Source organism: Homo sapiens, chromosome 9 (assembly GCF_000001405.40).
Source record: "Homo sapiens chromosome 9, GRCh38.p14 Primary Assembly".
Lineage (NCBI taxonomy): Eukaryota > Metazoa > Chordata > Mammalia > Primates > Hominidae > Homo > Homo sapiens.
The window spans coordinates 2,588,918-2,604,438 of NC_000009.12; the positions used below are offsets into that span (position 1 = coordinate 2,588,918).

General features: G+C 39.8%; 1 long non-coding RNA gene across 1 annotated transcript in view, besides 1 other annotated feature; it reads right to left on the reverse strand.

The window, feature by feature from the left end:
- The window catches only part of VLDLR-AS1 (VLDLR antisense RNA 1), an 86,722-nt gene that overhangs the window by 53,266 nt on the left and 17,935 nt on the right, over positions 1–15,521 (reverse strand). The window lies entirely within an intron of this gene.
- Positions 13,747–13,836: an enhancer, noted in NCBI's record as "active region_28137". NCBI's record gives its function as "activates an Ori minimal core promoter by ATAC-STARR-seq in GM12878 lymphoblastoid cells {active_cell/tissue: GM12878}" and the evidence as "EXISTENCE:reporter gene assay evidence [ECO:0000049][PMID:35858748]".

Consider the following 15,521-nt stretch of genomic DNA (forward strand, 5'->3'; position numbering starts at 1 on the left):
GCTCATGTTTATAGCAGCACAATTCACAATTGCAAAATCGTGGAATCAGCCCAAACACCCATCAATCAACAAATGGACAAAGAAACGTTGAGATATATATATATATATATATATATACATATATATATGTGTGTGTATATATATCACATATATATGTGATATATATATTCATATATATATGTCTATGGATATATATATGGATATATATATCCATATATATATGTGGATGAAGTGATCAGGGAACACTTCTGGACTGCTGGTGGGTATGTAAACCATATATATATATATGTCTCCAATCTCATCCAGGTCACTGTAAATGCTTTTAATTCATTCCTTTTCATGGCTGTGTAGTATATATGGATATATATATCACATATATATGTGATATGGATATATAGTACACAGCCATAAAAAGGAATGAATTAAAAGCATTTACAGTGACCTGGATGAGATTGGAGACTTATTCTAAGTGAAGTAACTCAGAAATGAAAAACCAAACACCATATGTTCTTGCTGATATGTGGAGGCTAAACTATGAGGAGGTGAAGGCATAGGAATGATACAATGGACTTTGGGAACTTGGGGGTGGAGAGTGGGAAGGGGGCAAGGAATAAAAGACAACAAATATGGTGCAGTGTATACTGCTCGGGTGATAGGTACACCAAAACCTCACAAATCACCACTAAAGAACGTACTCATGTAACCAAACACCACCTGTACCCCAATAACTTACAGAAAAATAAAAATTAAAATTAAAAAACAAAGTGCCAGTCTGCAAAGGATGTACTCGGGTTTTCCTTTGCAACCTTTTCCTAGATACTTTGGTAGGAAATAACATACTACAAGGCTCCCTTCTAGCCATCATCAGTTTCTGTTCCCATCAGGTGGAGCTAGAATCATGATGACAAGGTTATGTAAAGAGTGTGCACCAGTAAGCAAGCAATATGAGTTAGGCTTCAAAGAAAGCTCTTTTTCATAACTGCTTTCATGATCTAGTACATGTTACATCTGAAAAAGAAGATGAACATAGTGATTTTTGGTCACAAGTAAACCAAGTCTTTCTTTCAGTATTTTAGTTCAAGCCCAGAATTGTAATTACATATTTTTGCCTTTTACTTTCACATATTTAAGATGAATAAAGCATTATGTAGTGGCAAAATGCCGACCAGTTCTATGCATCCCTACTTATCTTAAGAGAAACAATAGTGCACAGCCAGAAAACAAGGCAAAACCTGCCTGAAAATCTCTCACCTAAAAATCTGGACTAGGTAAAGCTTGTGAGTATTATACAGAGGTAAGAGGTTAAGTTCGCCTTTATTTTCCAACGTGGTTCAACACCTAGCTGTCATAGCAATGACTGAACATTTGATAGATTTCTCTTTAACTTCAAACAATTTGCATTTTCTTGGCCATCCCTCAGTTGAATGCACACAAATCAAAACTACTTGTGTTCAGTAAATATGTACATCACATAGTTGATCAAAAATTGATGATGCTCCAGTGATTGATGCAAAATGCCTAAAGGTATTAATTGCTTTATATACCCAAGGCTTTGACCTCACTCCAACAAAATCAATTAAGGCACTGGCATAAGAGTTTCCAGCACAGAATAAATCTATGTAACCTCAAATTACATTCATTACCCAAACTGTTGCAATCATTGTGTCAAAATCAGAGTAGTATACTGGTAGTTAGGTGGCAAAAGGTACCAAGATCAGCCTCCTCACCTTACCAGGACTTAGAGGAGAGATATCTACAGAAACAATGGTAATTAGGAAACAAATACCTATCATTCTCTATGTTTGTGGGCCACAATTCAAAGCTGAAAGTTTGAAGAAGTTGTTATAGACAATCACTCTCCACCATTTGTTTCTATTTGAATCAGGCCTACATAGCTTTAGGCTGAATCAAGGTGACTTACTGGAATAAGGCAATATGTTAGTTAGTTTTTATTAATATAAAGGAATACCAGAGAATGGGTAATTTATAAAGAAAAGAGGCTTATTTTGGCTAACAGTTATGTGGGATGTACAGGAAGTGTGGTGCTGGCATCTGCTTTGGGTGTGGGCCTCAGGGAGCTAATTACAATCATGGTGGAAGACAAAGGGGGAGCCAGTGTATCATACCTTGAGAGGGAATAAGGCAGGGGCAGGTGCCAGGCTCTTTTAAACAACCAGATTTGCTTGAACCACTAGAGCAAGAACTCACTCATTGCTGCGGGGATGACACCAAGCCATTCATAAGGAACCTGCCCCCATGACCCAAACACCTCCCATCAGGCCCACCTCCAACATTGGAGGTCACATTTCAACATGAGATGTAGAGGGGACACACATTCAAACTATGTCATTCTGCCCCTGGCCCCCCAAATCTCATGTTCTTCTCACATTGCAAAATACAATCATCCTTCCCAATAGTCCTCCAAAGTCTTAATTCATTCCATCATTACCTCAAAGTCCAAAGTCTCAACTGAGACTTAAGACCAAGTTCCTTCCACCTATGAGCCTATAAAATAACTCTTGGGAGTTATTTACTCCCAAGATACAATGGTGGTACAGACATTGGGTAGACATTCCCATTCCAAAAGGAAAAAATCAGCCAAAAAAAAGGGACAAAAAACCCCATGCAGGTCTGAAGCCCAGCAAGGTATTCATTAAATCTTACAGCTCCAACATAATCTCCTTTGACTCAATGTTCTGCATACAGGACACACTAGTGCCACAGGTGGGCTCCCAAGGTCTTGGGCAGCTCTGCCTCTGTGGCTGCTCTCACAGTTTGGAATCTGGTACCTGAAGCCTTTCCATGCTGAGGGTGCAAGCTGCCAGTGGCTCTACCATCCTGGTGTCTGGAGAGTGAGAGACTTGTTTCCACAGCTCCACTAGGCAATACCCTGGTGGGGACTCTGTGTGAGGGCTCCAACCCCACCTTTCCCCTTGGCACTGCCCCAGTAGAGGCTCTTTGCAGGGTTCCACCACTGTAGCAGGCTTCTGCCTAGGCACCCAGACTTTGATACATCTGAAATCTAGGGAAAATCTGCCAAACTCCTTTCATGTTTGCATTTTGTGTGCCTACAGACTTAACATCATGTGGAAGCTGCCAAGACTTACAGCTTGTGCTCTCAGGAGTGGTAGCCCCAGCTGTAGCTGGAGCACTTTGAGCCATGGCTGAAACAGGACCAGTCAGGATGCAGGAGGCAGTATGCCAAGGATGACTAGGGCAGCAGGACCCAGAACCTGGTCCCTGAAACCATTCTTTCCTCCTAGGCCCCTGGGCCTGCGATGGGGCCATTCAGATCTCTGAAATGCCTTCAAGGTCTTTTTCCCATTGTCATAAATATTAGCACTTGGCTCCCATTCAGTCATGCTAGTGTCTCTAGCAAGTGGTTGCTGCATAGCCTGCTTGTGTTCCTTGCCTGAAAATGCTCTTTCCTTCTCTATCACATGACTAGGCTGCAAATTTTCCAAACTTCTATGCTCTGCTGCCCTTTTAAATATAAGTTCTAACTTTAAGTTATTCCTTTACTCCCATGTCTTATCATAGGCTGTTAGAAACAGCCACGCCACTTCTTGAATGCTTTGCTGCTTAGAAATTTATTTCACTAGATACTGTGGGACATCACTCTTAAGCTCAAGTTTCCACAAAGCTCTAGGTCATGGATACAATGCAACCATGTTCTTTGCTAGGGCATAACATAGGTGATCTATGCTTCAGTTCCTCATTTCCATTTGAGGCCTCATTAGCCCAGCCTTCACTGTCCATATTTATATCAGAATTTTTGTCACAACTATTTAACCAGTCTCTAAGAAGTTTCAAATTTTCCCTCATTTTCCTGTCTTCTTTTGAGCCCTCCAAACTCTTCCAACCTCTGCCCATTACCCAGTTCCAAAACTGCTTCCACATTTTCAGGTATCTTTATAGCAACACCCCACTCATTGGTAACAATTTTCTCCATTAGTCCATTTTCATTGCTGTAAAGGAACATCTGAGTCTGGATAATTTGCAAAGAAAAGAGGTTTATTTTAGCTCACAGTTCTGTGGGCTGTATAGGAAGTGTGGTGCTGGCATCTGCTTCTAGTGAGGACCTCAGGGAGCTTGCAATCATGGTGGAAGGTGATGGGGAAGTTGATCTATCACGTGGCAAGAGAGGAAGCAAGAGAGATTGGGGAGGTGGTTGCCAGACTACTTTAAACCACCAGCTTTTGCATGAACTACCAGAGCAAGAACTCACTCACTACCATTGGGAGGCCATCAAGCCATTCATGAGGGATCCACCCCCATGACCCAAATACCTCCCACTTCTCCCTGCTTCAATCAAAAGCAGGACTCAGAACAAACACCTCCCAGACCCACCTCCAAAACTGGAGGTCACATTTCAACATGAGATTTGAAGAGGGTGCACATCCCAAATATATCAGGCAGAAACAATCAGGAACAGACAACACTAAGAAGCAATGATTTTCCCTAGTTCTTTGCCCAAGACCGAGCATTGCCACTAGGGTGAAGAAAATAAAAGGAAGATAAAGTAGGTGGGCCTCATCCCATTTAGGAACAGCCTTGGCCTTTTAATTCCATTCTTACATGGAATATTTATAAAATGGCAAGCTATAATCGATAGCTAAATGTGATATTGACTAGTATTTGGGTGAACCAGAAATGCTTTCTGCTGAAAGTAACAAAAAAGCCATCTAACACTGACTTAACCAACGGTGTATTTTCCTCATGCAAGAAGGCTGCAGGTGGGCAATGGTTAGTGTTGGTTCAGGAGGTTAAAGATGGCAGAGATGGAATCTCCAGCATTCTCTTGATCTGCCAGTTCCATTACCTTATGGTTACAAAGTGGCCACCAAAGTCCAGGCATCACATGTGAATTCAAGCCTAGAAGTTAGAGAAGAGGGTTCCAGTATCAGTATGCCTTTATTGAGAAAATGAGCCTCTTCCCCAAAGCTCTCAGTAGAATTCAGTTTACATACAATTGGACAGAATTTTGTCATATCACCACTGTCAGCTGCAAGAGAGTATGGAGAAGTGAATATTTGGACAGGAACACAAGGGAGGTCTCCTTCTTGGGGAAGAACAAGAAGTAGGGCTAGAGGCATGATAGAAATGAGGAAATGAGAGCCTTTAGGAAGATCACATAGTAAATATCTGGCATCAGATTTTGAAGTAAGATCAATAGAAGAGAGAAGGAAACATTCTCTTCCCTTATTTCATACACATAGGAAAATAATTTCAAGAAAGAATGGAACAATACACATCAGCATACATTAGCAGGATGAGTGAAAAGGGCTTCCCTAGACTAACTCAATCAAAAGCAGGACTCAGATCATATCTGGAGCTTCACTGAACCTTCCTCAAAACAGGCAGGCCAAAGTCACAGGCAATTACAGTCTTCTTTAGTATTTTAATCTACCAAACAATAAGATATGGGTAAATAATGCCACACTAAGACACTGAAGAAACCCTCGCATTTGACAATGCATGTCCTGGTATTGAAAATGCCTAAATAAATTACATATTTCATAATCAATTGAAGAGTGATGAGAAAGACAAGACAAGTGGCATTTGCTACTTCTTAAAGAATTTCAAATATAAAACTTAAAGACGAAATATAAAAAAGTGGAAAGGGCTCTACAAAGCTTTTCTAAGAACTAATTGACAACATGGTAAGGCTATGGGGGGTAGGGCATGCTATTTGTCCTTACTTTTTCCATGTATATGAAAATCCAATTGAGGCAAAATATTTTGGCCATGAGCATAATTTCACAGTATATTTTTCAAGCTAATGAGACAAAGCATATACTACTTAAATTCTAAGTACCCTGATACCAAAAGGGTGTTGAAGAAGAATATTTTTCATTTACACAGTTAGCAAAATGGTTCTGAACCCTTTCTATCAACTAGAGTCATTGGGAGCTTTTAAAATTACAGATGCATTGGCAATCTCACTGCTTAAAAATTCTAATGTAATTGGTTTGGGGTAGAGCCCAGGCATAGACATGTCTATTTGTTTGTTTGTTGCCCCTGTGTTGATTCCAAAGTGAAGCCAGAGTTGAGAACCATTGGATGAAGAAAATAATACTCAACAGCGTTGAAGATGCAGTCAAGTTGGAGCACACAGAAACACTGAGTAAAAATTAGTATCATCTGTCTAAAATGTAATTTGGCAATATCTTATATGCCCAAACAATTGACTCTCTTTCTAAGAATATACTCTAAAGAAACAGGCAAAGAATCAGAGATTAATATACTGAAATATTCACTGCAACATCAGTAGTAAAAACATCCAATAACCATATAATTAAATAGCCTGACACATTTGCATTAAATATTTTCAAATAAAAATTTCAAAAATGAGAAACTACTAATGAAGTTTATATAAAAGTAGAATACAAGTGTATATATTATGGTATAAATAAAATTATATGAAAAATGCATACAAAAAAGCAAAGTAAGAACATTAAGGTAGTAGTAGCAAAGTATTAACAGTAGTCTTATGGTGTGATTACATTGGTAATGTTTATTTGTATACTTTATGTATTTTTTGAATAATCTATATACATGTTAATTTTATAATCAGAAAAGCAAACATTTCTTTCCAAAGTCTTTGGTTGTAGCATTTGCAGATCCTTCATTTGTTTAGAAAACCCTAATCTGATTGCTGCCATATGAACTGAGTATAGGGACTTCTAGTTTGAAGAAAAATGTAGTTTTTCATCATTAAATGATGAGGTCAATAAGTTGGGGAGGTAGTTCTCAAAATACTTTTTAAGCTTCCATAGCTTCTTTATGAAATGAGCTCTTTTATTTTATATAAAATATAATTTAATCTCAAAATGTAATTCTAAAATGAGTATAACTGTATGTAGTCAGAACGTATAACAAGATTAGACCAATTTTCTATACTATTATTGTCAAGGATGTTAACATCCTAGGGGAAATTTAACCAGCACTGTTTCTCAATTTGTTAAATATACTAAATAATCTGTGATATAATAAACAACAAAGTTGTAGATATTCATTTGTAAAGATATTCCCCTAGACATAGATACTTTTACTTCTTACTCTCCTATTTGTTTCCCTTTGTTCCAATCATCTTCCTCCCAAAAAGAAATCAAGTACATTGCCTCTCTGAATGTAAATATTTACAACATTTACATTTGCAATATTTAGTTTTGCTTCATGGGAGTTCATGGCTGAGCCAAGCACACTGTAGCATTGGTTTTCAATTTTACAGTCCCAAAGGAGACAGCTGGCTTCATGTCATGGTTATTGAGTTAATTGCTGTTTTGATGACTTGGCGTAATGACTTGTATAACCCTTTAATTTAAAGCATTTCAGAAAACATACACAGACGCTGTTGGGTATGGACAAGGGTCCAGTCTGAGTCTCCATGCTACACAAAAGATGGAAGAGAAAAGCCTCCACTTCCATGCCAGGCTGAGAATTTAGGAGGAGAACCTGACCACGCTACTACCTCTGTAGTGTAAGAGCCTCTTGCTATTAACTTGTCAGCCATGAGTAAGAAAAGGGGCTCTTGCTCAATGATTTGGGGGAGCTAGACTTGAGCTTCTACTATTCAAGTCATGAGGCTTGAATACACTAAAGGGAAGGGGTGGGTAGTTACCATGAGACACACAGAGGAATATTACAGCTTATATGGATTAAGGTCAGCCTAATTAGTGCATGGAAACAGCCAAACTCAAAGCTGTGTGATTAGAGAGTCTACGTGTGTTAAGGGCAAAGATAATGGGCTATAGATTGTATTTTAGGGAGGCCTAGCAAAGGAGCGACATGTAAATGAGCTCACCATAACCTACACAACAGGCGGTTTGTCTCTGGGCACTTCTCACCTGCTCTACAAGCTGTCTTTTCTCCAGCACCAATCCTGAGATCTTGTTTTTGCTTTCAAACAATCGTCTGCCTAATTCCCACTAACTCTAAAACAGCAAAGGGGCTGGCTGGCAACACCCCAAGTGGTGATGCCCCTCGGGTCTATTCACATTGTGGAGCAAGAGGAGAGGGGAAGGTGGAGAAGTCCAGAAAAAAGAACCTGTCTGCGGCCTTGCAGGATCAGCGGCTTCTGTGAAGGGGCCTAAAGCAGCTCCATCTCACTGTCATCATCCCAGGACATTAGGGGGAGATGGGGACTATGCAACAATGAAAGAAACCTAGAGATGACTTGAGACCTCACTTAAATTTAAATGAACAAATCAAGACAATACTGTCATTTCAGAAAAGCTGCTGACTGTTCATCTAAACTTTATAGTTTAACCTACCCCCATCTCAACTCTGCCAGACCCCAGAAATTCAGCAGGGATTTAAGACTTTGCTCGGGGAGAAAATATTAATAATCGTGCTATAATAAATAACTATTGAACATTTACTATGCTTCAAGCACTATGTTACAACTTTAAATGAACTTGGGTAGGTATATTATCAGCATCATCATCAATTCTGAGATGCAAAAATGACCTCAGAAAGGTGGATGGTTCTGTTCTGAACCAAATAGGAGGAATGGGTGGGACCAAGATCAAATGCAGGCAGCCCCATGACAGGGCTGTGTTGTGAACCACTGTAGGAGGAAGGAGAGGAGTGGGAGAAAGAGAGGGGCAGCAGAACAGTAACTGTGAGGCAGCCACACCTGAGTGCTAATTCTATGCCAACCTCTTTGCTGTCATCACACAGCATAACAACTTAAGATAGTTTCATGTTTCATCAACCCTCCATTTTACACATGAGGAAAAGGAGGTTTTAAGGGATTATATGACCCCCAGCTGGTAAATGCTGGAACTAGCATTAGAATCCAGGCAGATGCTCTAGTGACATTTGACTCATATTCTTGCTGCTGCCCGGAAGAGGCACTTACTGAGCAGTCTGGCTGGAAATTTGAACTTTGAGGATCTTCTAACTTCTAGTAGGATGAGGAAAGTTTTCACTTCAGTCTCACTTTGTTTGATGTTTTATGTTTGTTTTCCTTAAAAAGCATGAAATTGGGGTTAAACGCCCTCAAACACTATAACTTAATCCTGAATAAAGATGGCTTAACAGCACGGAGAGAAAGTGGATCAATTACTCTTCCTCAGGAACACAAGTCCAATCACTAGGAAGTAATAAGACCAAAGAAAGCTAAAAATGGAACATGTAAAAACAAAGAAATGATTGTTCTTTAGTTTTATTATTTTTCATGGACTACATCAAGTCTTTTCCCCCACAGCAAGTACCATCTACAGCAGGAGCCTCGAATCTCAGATGCTTGTGGGAGTCTATTACCCATCACATAATTTCCCTGGTATTCAGTCAAAGTGAGAAGGGATGATGAAAATTTTGGCAGGCTTTATACAAGGCTGATCAATATTTTTCATTTCCCCATTTATGTGTCACTACAATTCACAGCTGAGAGGACAAGTTAACCGGATACAGCATAGGACAGAAAGCCAAGCAGATACTCAAGTCAAGGCAAAGAGAGAAGGAAAAAAGTAATGGAAAGAAGCTGAAGCAAGAATGGTTAAAAGAAGCAAAACAGGCCAGGCATGACGGCTCACACCTGTAATTCCAGCACTTTGGGAGGCCCAAGAGGGAGGATCGCTTAAGCCCAGGAGTTCAAGACCAGCCTAAGCAATGTGGCAAAACCCTGTCTCTACAAAAAGTACAAAAATAAGCAGGAATGATAGTGCACGCCTGTAGTCCCAGCTACTTGGGGGGCTGAAGCAAGAAGATTGCCTGAGCCCAGGAGGTCAAGGCTGCAGTGAGTCATGTTAGTGCCACTGCACTCCAGCCTGGGTGACATAGTAAGACCTTGTCTCAAGAAAAAAAAAAAAGGAAGAAGAAGGAGGAGGAGGAGGAAGAGGAAAAGGAGGAGGAGAAGGAGAAGAAGGACAAGAAGCTCATAAAAAGCTTACAAATTCACCACTGCACATACAATGAAGGTGGTGGACCCAGTCTAGCCAGGACTAGAGTGTCCCCACATACACCCAGCACTAGCCCAGCATCATCAGTCTCATTATCTGTGTCACTGTCAATGATGACAGTGGCTTCAGGTCCTAGAGTCAATACCAAGAGAGGACCTAGAAGAGAACCTTGGAACTGTGGCCAATTTCAACATGCCTCCCACTAAGATCTGTCTTGGTAGGCAACAAGTTGATGTTGACACCTCAGGCTCTAGGTTCCCTGGCACTGCTAAGTTTTGGTGCCTTTCTTCTTACCCTTAGGGACAGGAAAATTGGCAATAATGGGACAAAGCTGTGCAGATCTAGGGGCACAGTCAACGTTTAAGTCAGTTATATAGCCAACCTCTGTCTACCTTCAAGCTTGCCCTGATGGGTTAGGATGAGGAGACTGTATCTGAGCCCATTGATTGTGCCTTCAACTAAATTAAGCAGAGCTTGGGGATGGTGTAGATTTAAGAACATCAAATTCAAACCATCACATAGCCATAAAATCAAAAAAACAGCCATGAGGCCAGGGTTAGATATACAAACATTAAAACCATTTAAAAAAAAAAAAAAAGAACTATGAAGAATGAGATCAGGAATGCTGAAGACCCAAGTCAGGTTTCCTGGAAAGGAAATGGGAATTAGGAGCAGTCACTAATTCTGCTAAAGTCTCCTGCACTTGATTCTTCCTCACAAGTTTACCCCATGGCACATCAAATCTACTTATTTTCCCATACAATTTGCTTCTGGACTACTCACTGCCCCCATTTAGCAAAGCACCCCCATCAACATCTAATAAATAAATGTCCTAAAGCAAGAGAACACCCTCCCATGAGGCTTCTGGTAACACAGCTGTGCAAAGGGTCATCAGATGGATCTTTTGGCTTTGTGAGATATTTAATAGAGCAAGAGGAAGAGAATGGAGCCTGAGCATCAAAAAGGACTTTAATTGTATTTGTTATGTTTTCTTGTATTAAAAAAAAATTGTGGGTATAAACTGTTAATTAAATTTTACATGACATTGCTATTTTTAAAAAATATGTCAAAATGAAAAAGAAGAAACCAAAAGGATGATGAGACTGAGGGAGGGCAAAGGAGTGGGAGAGAGAGAGGGGTAGGACTAGAGGGGGAAAATGAGAGAGAGAGGGAGTGAGACTGATAAAGAAGGGGAGGAAACTTCCATTTGAAAGGCTCTATGAGGCGCTTAGTAAGCCCCATGGTGAAATGATATGGAATCCAGCTCTGTCAGAGGTTGTAAGTACTCAAAGTAAGGAATAAACAAAGATAAAGTTCTAGAAGCCACAAATATGAGACAGAAATTCTTCGGATACAGGGAAGGACCCAGGGAAGTCCTTCTAGGAAGTACTACCAGAGGCTCCAAAGGAGAGAAGAGAAGTATAGTCAATGGGTAAATTCCACCCATGTTCCCAGAATTCCAGGGACCTGGTCAACACCAGAACCTCCCATCAGACATTTTCAATGCATTTATATAGTTCAGTAAGGAAATGTTATTCTGGCTTTAAAATAGGAGCCAATAAAGAAAGATAATTCTCTTTACAGTTAAATTATGAATTTTTCAGGAAATCGAACTTTTGTATGATGGGGTACCTATACTGCATTTACATCTCCGAAACCTAAGTATGGGCAATAAGGAAACATACCACCTAGTGGCAGACTACCTGTTGTGCTAGAAACACAAAATCCATTCCCTTTTGATATAAAAAAGGGTTTTTTTTCCTTATAAGACTTTAATATCCAGTAGTGAAACTAGCAGCTTACAAAATTTGCAGTATTGGAGAGAAGAAAAAATTCCAAATATATATTATTTCCTTTCATTAACTGAATACTAGAGAATGAAAGAGACTTTATAACTGCAGGAAGAATACATCCTCTCATTAATCCCAGCTGCTTAATTAAATCAATTGGAAGTTGCTAATTTCATTGTGTCTTTTCAGATACTTAAACCCATTTATTGGGAGAAGATTTGAGATGGCTAAAGTCACATTTGGTTGAATTTCTTTAGAAGACATAATCTCTTAGTGCAGAAAGGGATTGTCTGAGACAATCAACTGACAGATTCCCTCCCAGTACTTTTGAAGACTGTCAGAGGACAAAGTAATCATCATACACAGTGGGGCTGATTCCTATACGCCACATATGATAAAAAGAAAAAAAGATTAGCCTCCTCATTCAATAGTCACACTTTAGTCCCTGGAGAAGGTAGAATTTTACCACAACATCTGGCCAGCAGAAAACTACCAGGATTGAAGAAAATGTATTTACCCGTCCCTTCCTGGAACAGAAGGTAATTCAAAGTAGCAAAGAAAAAAGTGACACATTTCAAAACAATAAGAGGAGAAAAAAGTCTGTACAAGGTCAAAGAAGGAATATCAGAGCCTAATGGTCATTCAAGATATGTCTTCAATGACTTTGTGGTTGTATTTAAGCATCAGCAACATTTCTATTTCGGGAAGGCGAGATACAAAATTTAACAAAGTAAGCGGTAGATAATTAAGAAGTGTCTGTATATGGGGCTGATTTGAGTGTAAACACCAGTCTTCCTCTGTAAGTAACAGATTACTGGCCGGACTTGGTGGCTCCCGCCTGTAATCCCAACACTTTGGGAGGCCGAGGCAGGTAGATCTCCTGAGGTCAGGAGTTCGAGACCAGCCTGGCCAACATGGTAAAACCCCGTCTCCACTAAAAGTACAAAAAATTAGCTGGGCCTGGTGGCGAGTGCCTGTAATCCCAGCTACTCAGGAGCCTGAGGCAGGAGAATCGCTTGAACCGAGGAGGCAGAAGTTGCAGTGAGCTGGGATCACACCACTGCACTCCAGCCTGGGTGATAGAACGAAACTCCATCTCAAAAAAAAAGTAATACTTTTGCTACCCGCCACACCCCCCCAAAAAAGAGAAATTCTTGACTATGGTAAAATGTGATTTCTGGAAAGCTGCTTTTAAAAGAGAAAAATCTTGCCAAATTGTACTACCATATTATCATGACCCATCACTGTTCTATTTCTACCTCTTTTTATGAAAGGGCAGAACTTAGGCATGTTTATATTTTAAAAAACATTACAAAAGGTGCACTTGTTCCGTCTTGAGATAAAATTGAATCACTAATGCCACATTCATGGGGAGCCCCACGTGGTTAGTAAATTCTCTTGGGGTTTATGTTCTCCCAGTCATTTCCCCTTCTGATTCTCTGTTTCTGCTGAATAACTCCCCACACTCAGCTCTCACCTCCTACATCCCCTCTGGCCTCTTTATTGATTCCCAGTCTATTTAAACAGCCTCTTTTCCTAATTTTCCTAAAGCATCACTTACTCATGGCAGGGGGTATATGATACATTTTATAGAAGGTCAGAAGCCATGATGGGGATTATATTACAGCAGCCCAAAAATCCCGATAAAACAAACTATAATAACTAATTTTATGGTGCTTAATTGAGTGAAAAATGATTTATAAAATTGTATGCCTAGTCTTTTGGGGGGGGTCAGGGGGAAGGGTCTTGCTCTGTCACCCAGGCTGGAGTGCAGTGGTGCTATCACAACTCACCACAGCCTTGAACTCCTGGGCTCACCACAGCCTCCCACCTCAGCCTCCCAAAGTGCTGAGATTACAGGTGTGAGCCACTGCACCCAGCCTGTGTGCGTATTCTGATTGTTAACATTACCCACTAGGAGGACAAAAAAAAAAAGAAGGAAATATACAAAAGTGTGAATAGTGGTTATCTTAAGTTAATAAAATTATTGTTCATTTTTTTTCTTCCCCTTCCTCTCAAACTTTCTACATCTTCTTTGATGCACTTTCCTCTCTACATGGCAAGGTGGGTGACCTTCTCTTCCAGCCCCCATATCTTTGGGCGTCCTTTTCATATTTATAATGCAATGTCATTTCTGCCCAGCTTAGTGAACTGTTGCAAGCCTGTGGCTTTGCACTTTCCCATCTGCTGAGAAGAGTTGCATTCCAGGTACTTACCAGAGATGACCTCTAACTCTGTGCTGCTCAATATTTCGCAAAACTTCAGTTGAAAATAAATAGTATAAATGGAAGATTGCCTGGAGGTTCTTTCTTTCCCTTTATAGAATTATACTTTGGCAAAATGCCAAGAATGAGGGACGTTATACAAAGAGGTCTGACACAATTCAGTCGCAGTCACTGCAGGGCATTTTAGGAACCTGATCATCAGAGCTCAAAATACTTTTTATGAGTAACTGTGAGAAAACTCACTTCTGTTCTTAACACCAGGGACAACTGAGCTCCTCCTAAAAAACTTCATTTTTTTAAATCACATAACCAAATGGGATTTTCCTCTTTGCTCTAGTCACTAGGAAGCCTACAGTCAAATTTTTATTCCACAGGTATACATTTTCCATACTTACCTTTGCCATATTTATCCTTCCCCTTAGTCCTCATTTATTTTATATTCTTATTTTGTATTGTCTTAAAGTTTTTATGAACCAAGACAGTTATAAGAAAAGCACTTGCCCCACTGTTATAAGGGAAAACAAATTTGAACAATTGCCCATGGAGTGATGGAGACATATGGTCAGAACTTCTTTCACTCTTCAGTGAAAAAGACAGACAGCATCTTCTTTGGCAAAACAACACTGATCAAGGAAAAGAAGAATACTTCAATATTTTCTCTATGAATCCTGGGCTGTTTTCCATAGGAAAGCTGGATCTCTTTAAGAAGTTTTGAGCTGGGAAATGTTTTCATTAAACATATTCAAACAGTTTTTCTTTGTGGTTTGTCCTAGGAAAATGCGTGTGCATGAGCGTACCTGGTTGCTTGTTTTGCATCAACAAAAGGACACCTTAATATTCACTTTTTAGGAAAAGCACATATATAAGAAACAATCACATGAGTTTCTGTTCCAGGGCCCTTGCAGAGCAGTGATAGGTTCTAGCTCTGCTTAGCTGGGGAGAAGTCACATGAGACAGCAAACCTGGAATTTCATGGCAGAGCTTGTGTTTACCTCCTGTTGTATAAAGGTTATTGTGTGATCATCATACTGCCTTGTTACTCAGGCTCTTTGGAACTCAGTAGGAAGTATTAAAAGTACATAATCTTAAGTATTAAGGGTTATAGAGAAGATGTGCTATCATGTTTAAGACATTCCCTTCAATATAATCCAGAGCTGGCTTGTTTTTCCCCCTCAATGACTTTCTAGAAAAACTCTCACTCTTTTTTGCTGAGATGGAGCTGTACCTTGTCGCAGGATTGTTCTATAGAGCCTTAGTTGTCCCTAATGCCCTTCCCCACAAACATAAGCCCCCTATTATTAAAAAATCAAAAAGTAACAGATGGTGGCAAGATTGTCAAGCAAAAGGAACTCTTATATACTGCTGGTGGGAGCAAAAATTAGCTCAACCATTGTGGAAGACAGTGTGGTGATTCTTCAAAGACCTAAAGACAGAAATACCATTCAACCCAGCAATCTCATTACTGGGTATATACCTAAAGGCATATAAATAATTATATTATAAAGACACATGCACATGTATGTTCACTGCAACACTATTCACAATGGCAAAGATATGGAATCAACCTAAATGCCCAACAATGATAGGCTGGATAAAGA